The sequence below is a fragment of the Homo sapiens genome, chromosome 2 (genome assembly GCF_000001405.40).
Source record: "Homo sapiens chromosome 2, GRCh38.p14 Primary Assembly".
Lineage (NCBI taxonomy): Eukaryota > Metazoa > Chordata > Mammalia > Primates > Hominidae > Homo > Homo sapiens.
This window is the reverse complement of record NC_000002.12, coordinates 148,357,524-148,381,544: the sequence shown is the minus strand read 5'-3', so window position 1 is coordinate 148,381,544 and position 24,021 is coordinate 148,357,524. Positions and strand designations below refer to the sequence as shown.

General features: G+C 36.5%; 1 protein-coding gene across 30 annotated transcripts in view, besides 1 other annotated feature; it reads right to left on the bottom strand.

The window, feature by feature from the left end:
* The window catches only part of MBD5 (methyl-CpG binding domain protein 5), a 496,045-nt gene that overhangs the window by 135,427 nt on the left and 336,597 nt on the right, over positions 1-24,021 (bottom strand). The window lies entirely within an intron of this gene.
* Positions 18,954-19,492: an enhancer, noted in NCBI's record as "H3K27ac-H3K4me1 hESC enhancer chr2:149119622-149120160 (GRCh37/hg19 assembly coordinates)". NCBI's record gives its function as "activates a minimal SCP1, AML or CMV promoter by ChIP-STARR-seq in primed H9 embryonic stem cells {active_cell/tissue: H9 hESC(primed)}" and the evidence as "EXISTENCE:reporter gene assay evidence [ECO:0000049][PMID:30033119]".

Below are 24,021 nucleotides of genomic sequence, written 5' to 3'. Positions count from 1 at the left end.
TAATATCCTGCAGAGTGTTTTCCAACTTGGTTCCAATCTCCCCGTCACTTTCAGGTACACCAATTAGACGTAGATTTGGTCTTTTCACATTGTCCCATATTTCATGGAGGCTTTGTTCATTTCTTTTTATTCTTTTTTCTCTAAACTTCTCATTTCATTCATTTCATCTTCCATTGCTGATACCCTTTCTTCCAGTTGATCACATTGGTTACTGAGGCTTGTGCATTCATCACGTAGTTCTCGTGCCTGGGTTTTCAGCTCCATTAGTTCCTTTAAGGACTTCTCTGCATCGGTTATTCTAGTTATCCATTCGTCTAATTTTTTTTCAAAGTTTTTAACTTCTTTGCCATTGGTTCGAACTTCCTCCTTTAGCTCAGAGTAGTTTGATCTTCTGAAGCCTTCCTCTCTCAATTTGTCAAAGTCATTCTCTGTCCAGCTTTGTTCCGTTGCTGGTGAGGAGCTGTGTTCCTTTGGAGGAGGAGAGGCACTCTGATTTTGAGTTTCTGGTTTTTCTGCTCTGTTTTTTCCCCATCTTTGTGGTTTTATCTACCTTTGGTCTTTGATGATGGTGACGTACAGATGGGTTTTTGGTGTGGATGCCCTTTCTGTTTGGTAGTTTTCCTTCTAACAGTCAGGACCCTCAGCTGCAGGTCTGTTGCAGTTTACTGGAGGTCCACTCCAGACCCTGTTTGCCTGGGTATCAGCAGCGGTGGCTGCAGAACAGTGGATATTGGTGAACTGCAAATGCTGCCGCCTGATCGTTCCTCTGGAAGTTTTGTCTCAGAGGAGTACCCGGCTGTGTGAGGTGTCAGTCCGCCCCTACTGGGGGTGCCTCCCAGTTAGGCTACTCGGGGGTCAGGGACCCACTTGAGGAGGCAGTCTGCCCATTCTCAGATCTCAAGCTGCGTGCTGGGAGAACCACTACTCTCTTCAAAGCTGTCCTTTTTCTAATGCAAGTGATTAAGACTATATATATATAAATTTTACATGTTTAGTTTTTGTCTAGTTAAAAGTATTTCTTCTTTGGTTAATGAGCTATTCAAAGATTTAAAACATTTCTAAATGTGTAATAATTTTTAAATTTATCTTTTTGGTATGGTCTTTTATTTATCAGAGAATGTGGTCTATGAGACAACAATTCTTTGAAATTTGCTGAGACTTTGTGGTAAAATTATGGCACTTTTTGTAAATGATTAATCAGTTGAAAAGAATGTATATTCTCTAATTGTTGGGTACACAGTTCAATACAGACAAATGTATATTAAGATTTATTATACTGCTGAATTTGTCATTTTCTTCCTTTAATTTAATTGAATTTTATATATTCAGAGGCTATGATATTAAGTGGACAAAAAGGCTTATAATTATATTTTTCTAGTGAGTAGTACCTTTCATTATTATGCAGTGACCTTCCCTATCTCTAGTCATATTTGTTGCATTAAAATTGATGCCCAGTTTTGTTTTGGTTGGTGTTTGCCTGGCATAACTTTTTGCTATCGATTCATTTTCAATCTTTTCACATTTTTATGTTGCAGAGTACCTCAGCAATTGCTAATGTTCTTAGACTTGCTCCCAGTATCTTACTTTTTGCTTTCTGTTTGTGCCACTTCTTCTATACTTAAAATCCCTCTTATTGTCTTAAAAATAGACTTACAAAATTTATATTTATTTGTTTGAAACTGTGTTTATTTCATTTCCTCCCTCTATTGGATTGTAATCCTTTATTGGATTATAATCTCTTAGTGGGTTACCTTGGAAATCTTACTAGGTATACTGATGGTTCCTGTTATACCCCCTCCCCTGGCTTTCATGCAATTTTTGTCTAACATTTTATTTTTGTCCTTTTTATCAATCTCTGAAACTAGATAAGATAATAATACCTATTAGTAGTATTAATAGCAGCAGTAATGGTGTTTTATATAGATTTTATTGGATTTACTCACATTTGCCAATTTTTTCACTCAGTGCTCCTTCTGGCATCTCAGATTCTCCTTTTGAAATTATTTTTCCTTTTCCTGTCATTTTACTGAATTTTTTCTAATCATTATCTTTCAGAGGTTTCTTTAGTTTATGTCTTTTGATAGTACACTGTTTTTGATTATCTTTTTTTCATCCTTGGCTTGAAGTAAAGTTTTGGTGGGCATTCAATCTTAGGTTGACAAGTATTTTCTCTCAGCACTTTGAAAATGTTATTCCACTGATTTCTAGCTTCCATTATTGCTGTTGAGAAGTCTGTGGTAAATTTCATTGTTTCTTTTCAGGTTATCTGTGTTTTTTCCCCCTTAAGCTGCTTTGAGCATCTTTTTTTTGTATTTGATGACCTGTGTTTTACCATAATATCTCAAGGTATGGATTTCTTTTTATTTCTCATTTGTTACATATTGTTTTCACTATCTGTAGACTGCTGTTCTTTACTGTTTTTGGAAAATCATTAGCCATGAGCTCTTTAAATATTATCTTTCTTTCATTTGCTCTATCTTGTCTTTGTGAGTCTTTTACTAGTCTCAGAATTTCACATTTTAGTCTACAAATCTCTACCTTTCATATATTTCATGTAGTTTTCTTTCTATGCTATGTTCTGTGTCATTTAAAAAATCTCTCTCAATCCACTAATTGTCTCTTCACCTGTATCTAAATATACAAATAGAAAGATTCAAGCCACAAGACATTTGTTACTTTCCAAACTGGTCAATGGAAAGCCAATAACTATACATTTGTAATTACCTAATCACATATTTGTAAATATGCATTTTTCCTACATATATTATTAAATTATATTGAAGCTATACCAAATTCTGAGTGAATTTTAATTAGAATATGGGTACTAAATAAACACATTAAGACAAAGCTAGCCAAATGAATATTTTTAAAAAATTGATTACAATTGATTTAAGACATAAGAAGACAAACATTTTGTATCTTTTTTAATAATAGAAAAACAGTATTTCTAGTGAGAAAAAAGTTCTCTCAAACACAGCTGATGAGCTATTTATGATATAGTATAAAAACTAAAACTACTCTGACAAAAAAAGGAATTATTTATTCTACTTAAAAGCGAGAGGAAAAAATTTAATCATGCCCTCATACTTGCAGAGCTATAACTTATTAGGCAGTAAAAGAAATGCTTAAAATAAGGAAATGAAATATTACTTTTCAATTTTGGAAAGGCAGGCTCCTAAACTCTTAAAGCAGGTTAGCAATTTTGGAGGTTAATGTGAAAAAGCAGCAATATGACTCAGGCCAACTTTGAAATTTATCAGGAAACCAAATGTCATTAAACTGATTTTTTGTACTATTTTATCTTTGCTTGGAATAGTTAAGGATTAATATATAAAACCATTTTACTCACATACAGTATCATTTTTAAGGAGTGAAAATATGTATAAATTAATGAATACTGTAGAATGCATTAAAAGAAAAAGGCAATTCATATGGCTTATCTACAGTTCCCTGCATATACTCTGAATTACAAAAGGAAATACAGGAAGGTTACTGGTTTACAGCCTCAATCCCAAATCTTAGCTACATAATAGCTAATTTCTATAAAGGGGGAACACTTTTTCATGTAAAATTAATGCAAAGACAAAATGGATACTTTTATTTCATTTGCTCCCATGATAACCTTAAGAAATATGTACTCACCCAACTAACCAAATTTCTGAAGTACAAAGTTCAAATTCAAAGTATGAACTACTATCCTTCTCTTCTTTACCTTCTTGTAGGTTTCTATTGTCGAGGATACCCTCAAAGAAGGAAGGGGATGCAGAATACTTAGACTGTCTGTCCATAAGGGGCAGAGGACAAACAAGAAGTATTGGAGGAAGCAGAGTGAATTATTGAAGGCCTCCATAGCAAAGAGAATTTTCAGCCTCCTCTTTAGATTTATATAATTTATTACGTTTTGATGAAAATAATTTAGAGGAAGCAGTGAGAGAGACATAATCACATCAGTGGTCAAACTGTAAGAAACGCAGAGAAAGTGTAATAGTTATACAAGGCATCTATTTGTTTGCTTAGTTGCCCATGAAGCAAAGACATAGGAGTCCCTTACTGGTTCTCAACCAGCAATAATTTACTACCTGTGATGGTTAATACTGAGTGTCAACTTGATTGGATTGAAGGATGCAAAGTATTCATTCTGGGTGTGTCTATGAGGGTGTTGCCAAAGGAGATTAACATTTGAGTCAGTGGGCTGGGAAAGGCAGACCCACCCTTAACCTGGGTAGACACCATCTAATCAGCTGCCAGCATGGCCAGGATATAAAGCAGGTAGAAAAATGTGAAAAGGCTAGACTGGCTTAGCCTCCCAGCCTACATCCTTTTCCCGTGCTGAATGCCTTTGAACATCCGACTCCAGGTTCTTCAGCTTTGGGACTTGGACTGGCTTCCTTGCTCCTCAGCTTGCAGATGGTCTATTGTGGGATCTTGTGATTGCGTGAGTTAATACTACTTAATAAACTCCCCTTTATATATATAGGGAGAGAACTAATAGGATAAATAGGATATATATATATCTGTATACATATCCCATATATATATATATCCTCTCTCTCTAAATGTATCCTTTAAATTCTACATTACACTTAGAAAGCATTCAATAAGTACTTGCTAACTCTCTATTTATATACTCAATATACCATATATGGTATATAATATAATTATATATAATATATAATTATATATATGATTATAATATATAATTATATATATGTTATATATATTATATAAATTATAATATTATATATAAAATTATATATATAAATTATAATAGTATAATTATATAAATATATATAATTATAATATATAATATAATTATATATTAGATATATAATAGGATATATATATCCTATCAGTTCTGCCCCTCTAGAGAACCCTGACCAATACAGTACCCTAATCTAGTATCTGTCAATGTATGAAGACAATTTTTTTCTTCATAAACACTAAGTACATTTTATTGAAATATAACATGAATATTTTTGGCCGGGCGCGGTGGCTCACGCCTGTAATCCCAGCACTTTGGGAGGCAGAGGTGGGTGGATCACAAGGTCAGGAGATTGAGACCATCCTGGCTGACACAGTGAAACCCCGTCTCTGCTAAAAATACAAAAAATTAGCCGGGCGTTGTGGCGGGCGCCTGTAGTCCCAGCTACTCGGGAGGCTGAGGCAGGAGAATGACGTGAACCCAGGAGGCGGAACTTGCAGTGAGCCGAGACTGCGCCGCTGCACTCCAGCCTGGGCGACAGAGTGAGACTCCGTCTCAAAAAAAAAAAAAGAAAAGAAAAGAAAAAAAAGAAATATAATAAGAATATTTTTAAAGGGTACAAATCATACATGTAGAGCTTAACAAATTTTTACAAAGTGAACACACCCATATAATCAGCATCAGGTCAAACAGGATAGAGAACTAGTACCTTGGAAACTTCCCTTAGGACCCCTCAAGGGAAGACAATCTTGATTATCATTCTGAGTATGTGTATGTATGCTATTGGCATCTAGTAGGCAGAGGCCAGGGATGCTGCTAAACATCCTACAATGCACAGGAAAGCCCCAATAACAAAGAATTATTCACTTTAAAATGTCAATAGTGCTAAGGATAAAAAATTCTATACTACAACCCCAGATGTGCTTCTCCCTTTCACTCAAGTATGAACGATGATAGTCAGAGCAGCTAACATTTGGTGGGAGTGATTTACTGAGAAAATAATTTGGATGATTACTGAAGGCAAAAATAGGGGTAAATTTCCCAAAGAAATATCTGATCCTTAGAAATTTAAAATAATGCAATGAAGATTTAAGATGAAAATTAATCTAGTTCATTGGTATTGGTGGACATCTATGACCTGTGACAGCCCCCAAATTTTGAACACTTTCCTTATATTTTGATAATTTTCTATGAAATGGCTTCAATCTTCTTAAGGCAGAAATCAGAAAACTAGCATTTCCAGACTGCTAACAGCAAGGCAAGTACCCCATATCCCAGCAATGTAATCCACAGAATATGATTTGAAATTGGAAGCAAACGAACTGGGGATGCAAATCTTCCTGAGGGATTTGATTTGTTGGAAGACTAATCAGGTTCCTTGGGGATGAGAGTGGTGTTCAGATTCGTGCATAGTAAGTGCTGCATGCAGTGGATCAAGCTCCTGGAATGTGCTCGCACAACATTACTGATTAGACAACTCCAAAGCCAGCTCTTGTCTTGCTGATGTCTGTTAGCAAAGTCAGAGATAACTTTAACATGTTCCTTTTGCTGTTATACTGGTCAGTGAGGATTATGTGGTTTGCAATAAAGAATACTGACTGGTAGAAAAGTGTAAAATGTAAAAAAATTTCTTTCCTAAATTATTTTTTATAAAGTTACTGAAGATTCAGCAGTTAGGAGGCCTAAGATATGCTATGAAACCATAAAGTTTTGAATCTGGTGCTTACTGTATTTTCATTGATGACTTGTATTATACTTTGGAGAAGATGCTAAAATATGAGAAGTCTGAGACTGTAGCATTCAGGATCGATATTTAGCATAATATTTATACACACCAGGTATTAAGCAATGCTAGCTAAGAACTTAAATGAATTCAAAATAATATCACTAAGTTGGATAAGCAATCAAGTATTTTAAATAGTATTGTTTTCTAATATTAAGAAAAAAGCATACATAGGAGTAAAAAATAATTTAAAATATAAGTATAGTCATACGCATGTGTGGGAGAATAGTCATACGCATGTGTGGGAGAAAGGAAGCTAGGCATGACAATTCAAGAGGATAGTATAATTTGTACTATGATTATTCTGTATCTATTGTACCAATTTGCACGTCTGCCTGAGCGATCATCTTCTGTAATATCCCAGAATCCTGAGAGGAGGTACTTTGTCTTTTGCACCTTAACCTCAGGGTGAAGGAGCATATGGGTCACCTTCAGGCCCACCTACTGTGGAGAAAAACTTCAAACGGAAGGTCAACAGGCGCTAGGCCTTAATTTTCTTTAATATCACTTTAAATTCTACATTACACTTAGAAAGCATTCAATAAGCACTTGCTAACTAACTATAATTTATGGAAGTAATAAAAAACAACAACTGGATATCTCAGTAAGACTTGTAACAAGAAAAATAAAAGGAAGTCGCATATTGTTTAATGTTGCTCAAGGGTCTTTTACAATGTAAGACACAATATGGTAATTGAGGACAGTTAACTATCTACATATACATTCAGAATTGTTCCACCATCTGACTTTGTAGTAAGAAAATACATGGGCATATGCATGTTCGTGTGTGTGTGTGTGTGTGTGTGTGTGTGTGTGTGTATGCATAAACATATTTAGTTTGGAATAAGGAAATGGGCTTTGTGTGCAAAGTACAAAGCTAAGCAACATTCTGGGTTTGGCAAATTGGCATCTAGTAAGTCACTACAACCCAATCAAACATTTTGGTATATAGGTTGAGTACCCCTTATCCGAAATGCTTGGAACCAGAAGAATTTTGGAATATTTGCATTATACTTATCAGTTCAGCAGCCCTAATCTGAAAATCTGAAATCCAAAATGCTCCCATGAGCATTTCCTTTGAGCCTTATATTGGGCTAAGTTTCTGATTTTGGGGCATTTTGGATTTTTTGGGTTATGGATGCCCAGCCTGTATTATGTTACTACTGATATAAGGTAAGCCTGTATTCATCACTGAAAGAAACACACTAAATAAGGACAGAGGACAGAGGAAAGCCACAAAGTCAATTAAAGTATTATGAATAATTCTAATCAACAAACATTTTTAAAAGAATTGTAGTCACCTGATCACTGAGAGTAGCTTATTTGGTTTGTGCTTTCATTAACAATCTTCTAATAAATGTTACTCATCTCAAGAGTCTCTAAAAAAGGTACTTTGCATATAGAGAGGTTGTTATTTTTAAATTTATATTAAATTCATCAATATTTATGCCACATATGTACTATTAATTTGAAATTTTGAAAATCTTAAAGGCTCTAGAATAGCATGCTCTAGAAAGCCTTATGGTTTATCTATCATCAGATGGATAATGCATATAATATATGATAAGTGAAAGCTAAAATGGTATTTGTAAAACTTGTCCTTCCAATAACGAATATAGAAGAACATGTTTGTATTTTTCCCTATAATTAATCCAAATCAGCAAGGTTCATTACTGTGTTAGGTCATTATCTGGTTATTCAATATGCACTTCTCACTGTAATGCAATGCTACCAATGAACAAGAGTATTACATCCAGAATTGATGGAAATCTACCAAAATCATGAGTGGAAATAAAATTTAAATAAATAAAATCTTATCAAAGATATCCCTTCCCTCTGTTCTCTGAAAGCTTTGAATATTGAAACCTATTCAAAAACAGGCCTTCTTGCTTTCCTGTGGTAAAAGAGAACTGACTTTCAATTTTTCATTAAAATCTGTTTATTCACCGAAGTTAAAATTCAATATTGTAGCCATATCAAAACGTAATTCTTTAAAAAATGGTAAAGACTATCCACAGCTAAACTATGTGTTTATTATAGCATGTAACCAAAAGAAAAGATGTAGGTCTTTATTATACTACAGAGAGCTAATTAGAATAATTGCTCAAAGGCTAAATTACTATTACTCAGTTGCCTTGCTAGCAGAGTCGGTGGAAAATCAGAGGAAAAATTATAGAGAGTAACAATGACTGCCCAACATTCCAGGTTCAAGTAGAAGTTACTTTCCACTAAGTCTTTTTTTCATGATATTTAGCTATCAAACACTTCGAGTTTCTTGAGCCCACTATACTCTCTTCCACTTACTTCACTTACACTCGCATTCTCTTTGCTAACCTTTCTCAAGCTCTTGTCTTTCATCTCAATTCTGTATTCACACTTTTTCTTATATTTGGCAATCTCCCTCTTTGTCCAAGGCCATTTCTCCAAATTCACCACTACTATCTTTCTCAAACAACATATCATAATGCTTTTCCCACCAGTGAGGGCTCACAGTGTAACCATGAGGTTACTGTCCTTTACATAAGGATGAACCTCATGATCTATCATTAGTAGGCCACGAATTTGACTTGTGTTTCTAGTAGTAAAGCATGGATTTTCATTAATAAACACATATTCTTTTCGCTGTGTCACTCTGAAAAGGTCGATTGTGTGGCTTGAATTGTTGTATACCAATTAACAATAAAGAGCCCAACAATCAGAAGAAATAAGACAAATATTTTCTTAGGAAAAAATCTTCATTATTATTATTTTAGATCTCTAATGTAGATGATAAGATTGTATTTGTTGTTAACACTTAGCATATCCTAGTCATTCAGTGTATTGGTAATGTTATTAAAACTGCTGTTTATCTTTAGATAACGTGATTTGGATCCAAAATTCATTTATATTTTTCTGTTTGTAACTTGGGTAATCAAAATCACTGACTTTCATAACTACCCCATATGGGCTAGCAGCTCTTACTACATAGTTCCATAGAGTGTTTTACTTACTTTTGTCATATTTATTATATTAGCTTATCATGGTCCAGTTTGCTTGTTTTAAACAAGTTGAGAATGGGGACTGTATCTTCTATGTCTACAGCTTTAGCTCAACCACAGTATTTGGTACATATGTATATGATATAAGCTAAATGAATATAAGCCAAAGCAGGTTTTTCAATAGTGTATTCAATCACCAATATCAAGGGTGACTTTAATATGTTGATGTTTTTATAGGAAGTTCACTACATGTATAATAAGAGAATCACAACACTGATGGAGGGAAAAAGTCATTTTTTAATTCCTGATGGAGCTACTACTTTGAAATCCTACAAGTTAGGAATTCAGAACCAAAAATGGCTCTCACGTTAAGTATAAGAAAATGATGAAAACTGCCTGATGTAATAAACAGGCCTTGACTTGAAATTCTGTGCCCTTCTTTTCCACTCTAAGTTATTAATTTCTTACTAAAAGATCACACACTTTAGGGATGCTTTAGCAAAATCTAGAAAATCTTGGAAGTTCTGGAATTAACGTAATATTTATAGCCTAGTTTCCTAGAGTGTTCTTTTTCTCCATCTGTTGGTTGTTGATACAGTGTAACTTTATATTCAGATTACAGAAACACAGCAAGAAAGAGTTTCTCTTTTTTTAATATGTTACAATAAGAATTCTGGCTTCATATCCTGGTGTGAGACAGTTATTCTCTTGCTAAAAAATATCTAATTGAGGGGGAAAAAAGTAGGTCAACATTGATGTGGGATTCTTTCTGTTGTAAATAAGAGCTCCAAGATTTAATTCTATAAAATCATTTACATGATGACACATGACCATTTTCTCATAGAAATTATATGGTCATTAAAAGGGCAAGAGTATTAACATGTTTTATTCAGTACATTTTAAATGTAGACTTTAAAATTCTTGATGGAATTTTAAAAAACTAAGGAACAGCAGAAAATAGAAATAATTTTTTGAAATGCTTATACATATATCTTTCCTTAGAAAGCTACTAAATGTTCCATGAGAAGACAATCCTTTCTTTCTTAACGCTTATAATGTTGAGAATAACAATATTCCTTCTTAAACAGAAACACCAAACTATATTAAAATCCTGCTTCAAATATACTCATATATTTGCAAATACTTGGTTCCTAGTTATCCCTCATCTATATTCTTGCTTTGGTTTGGACTCTTAGATTAAAAAAATTAAAGCAGGTACTATCTGAATCTGTAACAGTCTTTTTCTCCTAATTTCCTATTAAATGGTAAATATCTTTAAAAAAATTAGGCTATCAGCCAGCATGGAGACTCATGCCTGTAATCCCAGTAATCTGGGAGGCTGAGGCAGGCTGATCTCTTGGGCTCAGGAGTTCGAGACCAGCCTGGGCAACACAGTGAAACCCTGTCTCTACTAAAAATACATACATTAGCCAAGTGTAGTGGTGCACATCCATGGTCCCAGCTACTTGGGAGGCTGAGGCAGCAGGATCACTTGAGCCCAGTGGGCAGAGGTTGCAGTGAGCCAAGATCACATCACTGCACTCCAGCCTGAGTGAGACTCCATCTCAAAATAAGTAAATAATAAATAAATAAATAAATAAATAGGCTATCGTGCAATTTTTGTCATCTGTATTTTACTTTGAATTTACTAACTCTCATTGTCAAAAAATCACCAAACAGTAATATTTAACTTCTGAACAGAAAGGTGTAATACTACATTTCTGGGAATACAGACCAGATAGCTCATCAGTACAATGAAGGCAGAATTTATATTAAAGTAAGAAAATATAATGTAAATATATTGTGCCAAGTTTTTAAAAACCATGATGCAGGCAAAATATTTAAAATTGAGGATATTTTGATAATTGTCCCATTTTAAAAATACAAACATTATGGTAATTTATGATACAAAGCAAGTATCAACAACTAGACAATTTCTTGCACAAAGTCTTTTTTAACAAAACATGTTTCTCAATTTAATATGTAATCTATCACCTTTATAAAGTGATGATAATAATTTAGTATAAAATATAGAGGAAGAAAAATGTTCCTGGATGAAGCTTTTGTTACACTTCAATTAGCCAGGTAAAGTGGGGAATAAAGAATGAGTAAATGTATGGTAGGTGGGGTGGGGATTGGAAGAGACTGGATGTAGTAGTTTTATGTGTTTTGAAATAGCTATCTATTATACATCCCCTAAGTGCATTCACTTAAAATATTAATATCCTGAATTCAAATGGTACATTTAACATAAAGAATTTAACATGGCTCACAAATATAACATAAACTATCTTTTCTTGAGGGAGGCAGATTAGTCACTGTAATTTTGCTTCATAATTTTATTGATTTGAACACAGGAGTATACCAAAAGCTATTGAAATAAAAACAATCACAACAAAAAGTATTACAACAAAAAGAAAAAGTATTACAACTTTTTATTTCAGTATATATTCAAACACACAGAAAAGCTGCAAGAATAGGCTGAGGGACTCTTGTAACTCTTTATCCAGATTCCTCAATGATTTTCATTTTTCTCTATTTAATTTGTCATCTTAGCATCTATCTGCTTAATTTGTACTTCTGGAATCTTTGAGAGTAAACTGGAGCAATGTTCCAATTTACCCCTAAATACTTCATTTCCTTAGAACAGGGATATTCTCTTGCATAATTACAATACAACTTATCAAATTAAAAAAGTAATGTATCTAATCTACATACGCTATTCAATTTTTGTAATTGTCCCAACAATGCCCTTTGTGGGATTTTATAGATTGAAAAAAAACCCTAGGCCAAGAACCAATCAATTATCACATGACATTTAGTTGTTAAGTGTCTTCAGTTTCCTACTTTTTTTTTTTTTAAGTTTTTTGAAAAATGGAACCACTACTTAGTCTTTCTTTTTCATGACTTTGGCACTTTTGAAGAATGTAGGCCGGTCATTTTGTTAAAAATTTTTACCACATGTTGAATTTGTCTGATGTTTCCTCATAATTCAATTGAGGTCACGCATTTTAGTGGGAATATTACAGAGGCGATGCTGTGTCCTTCTCCATGCATCATATCAGGAGACACAGGAAATGAAAGTTTATTACAATATTGGTGGTGGTAACTATGATCACTTTGTTAATGTGATATCCATTGGTTTCTCCACTGTCAAATTAGTAGGTTTCCTTTATAATTAAATTTTGAATATTTTGAAACTAATATAAAATTTTACTCGCTAATTTTAGCATCTAATAGAAGGGATAATAGAGTTATAAAATCATTTTCTAACTCTATTATCCCTTCTATTAGTTGGCATTCTGATGTAAGAAAGAATTTTCTGTTCTCCTTCATTTATGTATTCATTTATATTGGTCTGGATTGATAAGATTCTCATTTTATATAGTGTGTTATAATTCATTATTATCATTATTTATCTTAATGCTCAAATTGCCCCACATTTGGCTGCTGGGACTACGTTAACACAAGACCGCCTTAGTACTGCTTCAGTTGGAGTCCCTTTACCAAGAATTAGTAAGAGCAGAAGGTAACTATTGTGAAACACATTTTGATGCTCTTTTTAAATATTTTTTGTTTTTATTTATTTTAAAAAAGTTTTTATTTTTTTTAATACTTTAAGTTGGGATACATGTGCAGAATGTGCAGGATTGTTACATAGGTATACACATGCCATGGTGGTTTGCTGCACCCATCAACCCATCATCTACATTAGGTATTTCTCCTAATGCTATCCCTTCCATACCCCCTAACCCCTGACAGGCCCCAGTGTGTGATGTTCCCCTCCCTGTGCCCATATGTTCTCATTGTACGGTTCCCACTTATGAGTGAGAACATGCGGTGTTTGGTTTTCTGTTTCTGTGTTAGTTTGCTGAGAATGATGGCTTCCAGCTTCATCCATGACCCTGCAGAGGACATGAACTCATACTTTTTAATGGCTGCATAGTATCCCATGGTGTATATGTGCCACATTTTCTTAATCCAGTCTATCACTGACGAGCATTTGGAGTGGTTCCAAGTCTTTGCCATTGTGAATAATGCTGCAATAAACGTACATGAGCATGTGTCTTTATAGTAGAATGATTTATAATCCTTTGGGTATATAACCAGTAATGGGATTGCTGGGTCAAGTGGTATTTCTGGTTTAGATCCTTGAGGAATCGCCACACTGTCTTCCACAATAATTGAATTAATTTACACTCCCACCAATGGTGTAAAAGTGTACTATTTCTCCCCATCCCCTTCAGAATCTGTTGTTTCCTGACTTTTTAATAATTGCCATTCTAACTGGTGTGAAATGCTATCTCATTGTGGTTTTAATTTGCATTTCTCTAATGACCAGTGATAAAGAGCTTTTGTTCATATGTTTGTTGGCTGCATAAATGTCTTCTTTTGAGAAATATCTGTTCATATACTTCTCCCATTTTTTGATGGGGTTGTTTGTTTTTTTCTTGTAAATTTACTTAAGTTCCTTGTACATTCTGGATATTAGCCCTTTGTCAGATAGATAGATTGCAAAAATTTTCTCCCATTCTGTAGGTTGCCTGTTCACTCTGATGACAGTTTCTTTTGCTGTGCAGAAGCTCTTTAGTTTAATTAGATCCTGTTTGTCAATTTTGGCTTTTGTTGCCATTGCTTTTGGTGTTTTGGTCATGAAGGCTTTGCCCATGTCTATGTCCTGAATGGTATTGCCTAGGTTTTCTTCTAGGGTTTTTATGGTTTTGGGTCTTACGTTTAAGTCTTTAATCCATCTTGAGTTCATTTTTGTATAAGGTGTAAGGAAGGGGTCCAGTTTCTGTTTTCTGCATATGGCTAGCTGGTTTTCCCAACGCCATTTATTAAATAGGGAATCTTTCCCCATTGCTTGTTTTTGTCAGGTTTGTCAAAGATCAGATGGTTGTAGATGTGTGGTGTTATTTCTGAGGCCTCTGTTCTGTTCCATTGGTCTATATATCTGTTTTGATACCAGTACCATGCTGTTTTCATTACTGTAGCCTTGTAGTATAATTTGAAGTCAGGTAGTGTGAAGCCTCCAGCTTTGTTCTTTTTGCTTAGAATTGTCTTGGCTATATGGGCTCTTCTTTGGTTCCATATTAAATTTAAAGTAGTTTTTTCTAATTCTGTGAGGAAAGTCAATGGTAGCTTAATGGGGATAACATTGAATCTATAAATTACTTTGCATACTATGGCCCATTTTCACAATACTGATTCTTCCTATCCATGAGCATGGAATGTTTTCCATTTGTTTGTGTCCTCTCTTATTTTCTTCAGCAGTGGTCTGTAGTTCTCCTTGAAGAGGCCCTTCACATCCCTTGTAAGTTGTATTCCTAGGTATTTTATTCTCTTTGTAGCAATTGTAAATGGGAGTTCACTCATGATTTGGCTCTCCGCTTGTTTATTATTGGTGTATAGGAATGCTTGTGATTTTTGCACATTGATTTTGTATCCTGAGACTTTGCTGAAGTTGCTCATCAGCCTAAGGAGATTTTGGGCTGAGACAATGGGGTTTTCTAAATATACAATCATGGCATCTGCAAACAGGGACAAGTTGACTTTGTCTTTTCTTATCTGAATACCCTTTATTTCTTTCTCTTGCCTGACTGCCCTGGCCAGAACTTCCAACACTATGTTGAATAGGAATGGTGACAGAGGGCATCCTTGTCTTGTGCTGGTTTTCAGAGGGAATGCTTCCGGCTTTTGGTCATTCAGTATGATATTGGCTGTGGGTTTGTCATAAATAGCTTTCATTATTTTGAGATACGTTCCATCAATACCTAGTTTATTGATAGTTTTTAGCATGAAGGGGTGTTGGATTTTATCGAAGGCCTTTTTTGCATCTATTGAGATAATCATGTGGTTTTTGTCATTTGTTCTATTTATGTCATGGATTGCATTTATTGATCTGCATGTGTTGAACCAGGCTTGCATCCCAGGTATGAAGTCGACTCGATCATGGTGGATGAGCTTTCTGATGTACTGCTGGATTCTGTCTGCCAGCATTTTATTGAGGATTTTTACATCGATATTCATCAAGGATATTGGCCTGAGATTTAGTATTTCTGTTGTGTCTCTGCTAGCTTTTGGTATCAGGATGATGCTGGCCTCATAAAATGAGTTAGGGAGGAGTCCCTCTTTTTCTTTTGTTTGGAATAGTTTCAGAAGGAATGGTACCAGCTCCTCTTTGTACTTCTGGTAGAATTCACCTGGGCATCCATCTGGTCTGGGGTTTTTTTTTTGGTAGAGTGTTAATTACTGTCTCAACTTCAGAACTTTTTATTGGTCTATTCAGTGATTCGACTTCTTCCTAGCTTAGTCATGGGAGGGTGCATGTGTCTAGGAATTTATCCATTTCCTCTATATTTTCTAGTTTATTTGCATAGAGGGGTTTATAGTATTATCTGATAGCAGTTTGTATTTTGGTGGGATCAGTGGTGATAGCCCCTTTATCATTTTTTATTGTGTCTATTTGATTCTTCTCCTTTTTCTTTTTTATTGGTCTGGCTAGTGGTCTATGTATTTTGTTAATCTTTTCAAAAAATCAGCTCCTCAATTCCTTGAATTTTTGAAGGGTTCATCTCCTTCAGTTCTGCTCTGATCTTGTTTATTTCTTGTCTTCTGCTAGCTTTTGAATGTGTTTGCTCTTGCTTCTCTACTCCTTTTAATTGTGATGTTAGGGTGTCGGTTTTAGATCTTTCCTGCTTTCTCCTGTGGGCATTTGGTGCTATAAATGTCCCTCTAAGACTGCTTTGGCTGTGTCTCAGAGATTCTGGTATGTTGTGTCTTTGTTCTCATTGGTTTCAAAGAACTTATTTATTTCTGTGTTAATTTTGTTATTAACCCAGTAGTTATTCAGGAGCAGGTTGTTTAGTTTCCATGTATTTGTGTGGTTTTGAGTGAGTTTTGTAATCCTGAGTTCTAATTTGATTGCACTGTGGTCTGAGAGACTTGTTTGTTAAGATTTCTGTTCTTTTGCATTTGCTGAGGAGTGCTTTACTTTCAATTATGTGGTCAATTTTAGAATAAGTGTGATGTGGTGCTGAGAAGAATGTATATTCTGTTGATTTGGGGTGGAGAGTTCTGTAAATGTCTATTAGGTCTGCTTGGTCCAGAGCTGAGTTCACGTCCTGAATATCCTTGTTAATTTTCTGTCCTGTTGACCTAATATTGACATTTGGGTGTGAAAGTCTCTCACTATTATTGTGTGGCAGTTTAAGTCTCTTTGTGGGTCTCTAAGAACTTGCTTTATGAATCTGGGTGCTCCCCTATTGGGTGCATATATATTTAGGATAGTTAGCTCTTCTTGTTGCATTGATCCCTTTACCATTATGTAAAGCCCTTCTTTGTCTTTTTTGATCTTTATTGGTTTAAACCCTCTTTTACCAGAGACTAGGATTGCAACCCCTGCTTTTTATTGCTTTCCATTTGCTTGGTAAATATTCCTCCATCCCTTTATTCTGAGCCTATGTGTGTCTTTGCGTGTGAGATGGGTCTCCTGAATACAGCACACTAATGGGTCTTGACACTTTGTCCGATTTGCCAGCCTGTGTCTAATTGGGGCATTTAACCCATTTACATTAAAGGTTAATACTGTTATGTGTGAATTTGATCCTGTCATTATGATGCTAGTTAGTTATTTTGCCCGTTAGTTGATGCAGTTTATTCATAATGTCAATGGTCTTTACAATTTGGTATGTTTTTGCAGTGGCTGGTACCAGTTTTCCTTTTCCATATTTAGGGCTTCCTTCAGGAGCTCTTGTAAGGTAGGCCTGGTGGTGACAAAATCTCTCAGCATTTGCTTGTCTGTAAAGGATTTTATTTATCCTTCGCTTATGAAGCTTTGTTTGGCTGGATATGAAATTCTGGGTTGAAAATTCTTTTCTTTAAGAATGTTGAATATTGGCCCCCACTCTTTTCTGGCTTGTAGGGTTTCTACTGAGATATCTGCTGTTAGCCTGATGGGATTCCCTTTGTGGATAACCTGACCTTTCTCTCTTCTGCCCTTAATATTTTTTCCTTCATTTCAACCTTGGCGAATCTGTCGATTATGTGTCTTGGGTTGCTCTTCTTGAGGAGTATCTTTGTGGCGTTCTCTGTATTTCCTGAATTTGAATGTTGGCCCGTCTTGCTAGGTTGGGGAAGTTCTCCTGAATAATATCCTGAAGAGTGTTTTCCAACTTGGTTCCATTCTCCCCGTCACTTTCAGGTACACCAATCAAACACAGGTTTGGTCTTTTCACATAGTCCCATATTTCTTGGAGGGTTTGTTTGTTCCTTTTCATTCTTTTTTCTCTAATCTAGTCTTCACACTTTATTTCATTAAGTTGATCTTCAATCTCTGATATCCTTTTTTCCGCTTGATTGATTCAGCTATTGATACTTGTGTATGCTTCATGAAGTTCTCATGCTGTATTTTTCAGCTCCATCAGGTATAGAGGTCCACTCCAGACCCTGTTTGCCTGGGTATCACCAGCAGAGGCTGCAGAACAGGTCTTTTCTTAACTGGTTATTTTAGTTAGCAATTTGTCTAACCTTTTCTCAAGGTTCTCAGAGGCTGCGTGTGGTGGCTCATGCCTGTAATCCCAGCACTTTGGGAGGCCGAGGTAGGTGGATCACGAGGTCAGGAGATTGAGACCATCCTGGCTAACACAGCGAAACCCCGTCTCTACAAAAAATACAAAAAAATTAGCCGGGCGTGGTGGCGGGCGCCTGTAGTCACAGCTACTCGGGAGGCTGAGGCAGGAGAATGGTGTGAACCCAGGAGGTGGAGCTGGCAGTGAGCCAAGATTGCGCCACTGCACTCCAGCCTGGGTGACAGAGTGAGACTCTGTCTCAAAAAAAAGAAAAGGTTCTTAGCTTCCTTTCATTGGGTTAGAATATGCTCCTTTAGCTCGGAGGAGTGTGTTATTACCCACTTTCTGAAGCCTACTTCTGTCAATTCGTTAAACTCATTCTCTGTCCAGTTTTGTTCCTTTGCTGGCAAGGAGTTGTGATCACTTGGAGGAGAAGAGGCATTCTGGGTTTTGGAATTTTCAGCCGTTTTGCACTGTTTTTTCCTCATCTTCATTGATTTATCTACCTTTGGTCTTTGTGTTGGTGACCTTCAGATGGGGTCTCTGAATGGATTTCCTTTTTGTTGATGTTGATGCTATTCCTTTCTGTTTGCTAGTTATCCTTGTAACAGTCAGGCCCCTTTGCTGCAGGTCTGCTGGAGTTTGCTGGAGGTCCACTCCAGACCCTGTTTGCCTGGGTATCACCAGCAAAGGCTGAAGAACAGCAAAGACTGCTGCCTATTCCTTCCTCTGGAATCTTTGTCCCAGAGTAGCACCCACTAGATGCCAGCTGGAGTTCTCCTGTGTGAGGTGTCTGTCGACCCCTGCTGGGAAGTGTCTCCCAGTCAGGAGGCACGGGGGTCAGGGACCCACTTGAAGAGGTAGTCTGTCAGTTAGCGGAGCTCGAGCATTGTGCCGGGAGATGCACTGCTCTCTTCAGAGCCAGTAGGAAGGAACCTTTAAGTTGGCTGAAGCTGTGCACACAGCTGTTCCTTTCCCCTGGTGCTCTGTCCCAGGGAGATGGGAGTTTTATGTATATGTCCCTGACTGGGGATGCTGCCTTTCTTTTAGAGATGCCCTGCCAACAGAGGAGGGATCTAGAGAGGCAGTCTGGCTACAGTGGCTTTGCTGAGCTGCAGTGATCTCCGCCCAGTTCGAACTTCCTGATGGCCTTGTTTACACTGTGAGGGGAAAATCGCCTACTGAAGCCTCAGTAATGGTGGATGCCCCTCCCCCCACCAAGCTCCACCATCTCAGGTTCACTTCAGGCTGCTGTGCTGACCTGAGAATTTCAAGCCAGTGGATCTTAGCTTGCTGCGCTCTGTGGGGCTGGGATCCGCTGAGCTAGACCACTTGGCTCCCTGGCTTCAGCCCCCTTTCCAGGAGAGTGAATGGTTCTGTCTTGCTGGCATTCCAGGGGCCACTGGGGTATGAAAAAAACTCCGGCAGCTAGCTCGGTGTTTGCCCAAATGGCCACCCAGTTTTGTGCTTGAAACCCAGGGCCCTGGTGGTGTAGGCACCCGAGGGAATCTCCTGATCTGCAGTTGCAAAGACCATGGGAAAAGCGTAGTATCTGGGCCCGAGTGCACTGTTCCGCATGGCACAGTCTCTCCTGTCTTCCCTTGGCTAGGGGAGGGAGTTCCCCAACCCCTTGTGCTTCCCCAGTCGGGAGGGCTGCACTCACTGTCTAACTAGTTCCAATGAGATGAGCTGGGTACCTCAGTTAGAAATACAGAAATTACCCGCCTTCTGCGTTGATCTCGCTGGGAGCTGCAGACCGGAGCTGTTCCTATTTGGCCATCTTGGCAGCCACCACCATTTTGATGCTCTTATTAACATCTAGTGATTGTTGTCCAAACTATGGGATTGGCAACGTGTCTTTAAAAATAACTATTGTTAAGTTCCTATTTCTCTGACTATATAGATAATGTGAGCCCTTCTTGTTTCATAGCCTAGATCCTGGGCAATGTTGCAAAAGGCTACATTAGTTAATATTGGACAAATTGTTAAGCCAGTCATTCAACATATACCCTACCTTTTAAAAATGGCTCTGCAACAGATTTCTGTTTGGAAATACTAATAAAACAGGGGAGTCAGTGTCCCAACTGATGTTCAGAAGAATATGTACTGAAAAGAAATCTGTAAATCCAACACGTTTTTTTTTTTGTTTTGTTTGTGTTTTTGAGACAGAGTCTCACTCTGTCACCCAGGCTGCAATGCAGTTGTGCAATCTTGGCTCACTGCAACTTTCACCTCCTGGGTTCAAGAGATTCTCCTCCCTCAGCCTCCCCAGTAGCTAGGATTACAGGCATGTGCCACCTCACCTGGCTAATTTTTGTATTTTTAGTAGAGATTGGGTTTCACAATGTTGGCCAGGCTGGCTGGTTTTGAACCCCTGACCTTGTGATCCGGCTGCCTCGGCCTCCCAACGTGTTGGCATTATAGGCATGAGCCACCACGCCTGGCCCCAACCCAGCACTTTTTTTCTTATTTTTCTTCTCAATAAAAACATGGAAGGAGAGGAGGGGAGCGGAGGGAAGATTTTTATAGTTAGCAGATTATGATAATTCTAAATACAAGGTAAATAATGGTGGGAAAACTCATAATAAAACTTACCTAGTCTGAGCTAAAATTTTAAAATGAACATTGATTATATGTGCATTTTAACTGAAATATAAAAACATTATTTTTTATTTGTTTTTGAATATTTTTCAACAATTTTAATGCCAGCTTAGAAAAATGATCATATAGACTGTCACAAAAATACCAGCAATATTAAACAGTGTGCACCCTGTAATTCCAGCATGTGGTACCAGAATGTTTCTAAGGTTTCACAGTAAATATCAGCAATGCAGCACACTCTACCTAGATTTTCAATATCTAGGTCACATGGACTACTTTGAATACTGTGAATAGGGGAAAAAAAGCAGGAAGATTTCTGTATAGCCACCAGAAAATCATAACATGCAAAATACATTTTAAAAAATCCTAGGATATCATGGTTTTAAAAATAATTCCTACATAAAATAGAAGACAGTATCCCAAAAAGGAACTTCTCATCTATTATGTAAACCAAATAAAACCTTTGCAGAGTATTATTTACTTAATAAAATGTCTTTTGTTTTTCCTATTCTCTGAGATGTGTGTGTGTATGTGCACACTGAATGGTCAGAAGCAGGTAAAAAGAACATATACTAAAAATAAATGTGTTGTTAATCCAAAAAATATATGCACTTTAGGGAAAAATCCAGCAGTAGTTAGAGGTAATCAGAAACTACAGCTTCCACTTATAATAAAGGCAAACAGATATGATAATAATGATATTTGAAATTATAATCCTTTTTATTTATATAAAAGAGACATGGAGGGTTTATAATACATTTTGATTATGAAAAATGCACACTGCATTTGCAATTTCTTTCAGCCATAATAATATACAGTTACAGATATTTGAAACCTGAAATGATCTTTGCTATAATTTTATTATTTTCCTTGAAATCTAGTGAATTTATTCAGTTATGGATTTAAAATTTCTTCTTGCCCTTTTTCCAAGTTTTTATGTGAAGGACAGGAAGTAAATATGTGTCTCAGCAAAATGAGAGTCCCTAATAATCTATAATAAAACTGCTACCACATATAACTTTTATATATGTATACTTCTTTTAAAGGGAGACAGAAATGAAAACAACTTTTTCAGTGAATTTTTCTTAATCTATTTGAAAAGCAATACATAAAGAGCAGTCACATATGCCAGCACAACAATTAAAATGGGTAACATTGAAAAACCACATTTAAATGACTAGGATTCATAGAGATCATGCTTTGATAAAGAGTTTATTCCTATTATCAAAAAGATCTATAGAACTGGCTATAAACAATGTATTTTTTTAATGGCACTAAAGCTTACAAGGATCTTTCAATCGAGTACACAAAGGAGCTGCTTAAGACTGCAAAGCCTTTCTTAAGACTTAAGAAGGCAAGAAAAATGCTTTTTACATATCACACTCCATTATTTGGCAATAGTGCCCTTTTAAAGGACCAAAATTTTCATATAGTAGGAGGATTTTGATATTAGAGAATTTACTATAGTTATGGAGATATTCTAGAAGCGGTTTAAAAATGGGTATATAGCACAAAGAAAGAGCAAAAATGAACATGATATGTTTTATCTCATTTTATTCATCATTACCACCCTATGAAATAGCATTTTGATCCTTATTGCTGTTAACTGAAAATAAAACACTACAATTTTTTTTTTTTTTTTTTGAGACAGAGCCTTACTCTGTCATCAAGGCTGAAGTGCAGTGGTGTGATAATGCCTCACTGCAACCTCCTCCTCCCAAGTTCAAGTGATTCTCATGCCTCTGCCTCCCAAATAGCTGGGACTACAGGCGTGCAGGGTGCCACCAAGCCTGGCTAATTTTTGTATTTTTAGTAGAGATGGGGTTTCACCATGTCGCCCAGGCTGGTCTTGAACTCCTGACCTCAGGTGATCCATGTGCCTCGGCCTCCCAAAGTGCTGGGATTACAGGCTTGAGCCACCACACCCCGTCAAAAGACTATAAATTTCTAGAAGTCCAAGGCTGGTATAAAGCTAACTTACTGCTACTCTATGCAAAATAACATTGAAATCAAGTGATAGAAAGCACTGGTAGAGTAGGTAGAGATTAGATTATTTCTGAAAAGAGTCACTTCAATTTTGCCCTGGAGAATAAATTATATTTTGTCTTTTAATTTTTTTAAGACAGGTTCTCACTCTTGTCACCCCGGCTGGAGTGCAGTGGCATGCCGCTCACTGCAGCCTTCATCCACCCATCCCCAACCCCCACCTCAAGCGATCCGCTCCTCAGCCTCCTGAGTAGCTGAGACCACATGCGTGTACCACCACACCCAGCTTTTTTTTTTTTTTTTTTTGTATTTTTAGTGGGGGTTTCACCTGTTGCCCAGGCTGGTCTGGAATTTCACAGCTCAAGTGATCCACTTGCCTTGGCCTCCCAAAGTGCTGTGTGAGCACTTACAGGCGTGAGCCACTGCACCCAGCCTATTTTGCTTTATAATAGGAGAAAGTATTGTATTTAACTTGTTCCTAGGTGGTTGCATTCCTTTAAATATTAATCCACTTATTTCTTTATATGTAAGAATATACTAATTATATCCCTCCTGTATTATTTTAATAAGTAGCCCTATTACCTATATCTTGGGCTGTGTTATAAGCATCACATAATTACATGCAGAGTAACCTCATCTGCTAGTTTATGCTGCTATAACTCAAGCTTTATCAGGAGTGATCTTTGTAAAATGGCATTTCCTCTGGCCATTTTTTTTGCCTACAAACTTTCAATGACTTCTAGTTAAAGATACCAGGTAGACCACGCATGTTTTTACTTCTTTTAAGACCCAGTAAAATGACAATACAGAAATAAAAAATAAGTAACACCACAATAGGTGGAGGATGGGCCATTAACAGATGTGAGATTTCAATATATTAATGTGAGCAGGAAAACAGATTAGAACTGCTGAAGTGGGCACAGGAAACCTCAGCCTAGAGTAGACAAGACCCATTGATCTGTAGATACACAGGGAGGTTCAGGGGCTCTGAGATGCCTGGTAAGAGGACAGCAGGGAGAAATAGGGCTGAAAATGGGGAGATTTACTGAATATTTGTATAATGAACAATGACACACAGAGACCACAGAGAATACGAAAGACTTTTAGAAAATAAAAACATAATTTTATATTTCAACCCTCCCATGAATTTTTGTTTTAAGAGTTGAGAGCTTTCCCAGTAGGTAGATTAAAAATGAAACAAAGTATCATGCAAAAGAACAGACTTCAAATGGCCAGCCCATGTGGACCATCATAGAATAATAAAAGTTGTAGAAGGAAAGAACAAGAAAAAAAAGGTGGGTTAGGGGAGAATTATAAGAAAATAATGCAAGATAATTTTCTAGATATGAAGGACACAACTCCTCAGAAGAGAGTACCCACTTAAAATTCAAGTACAACATG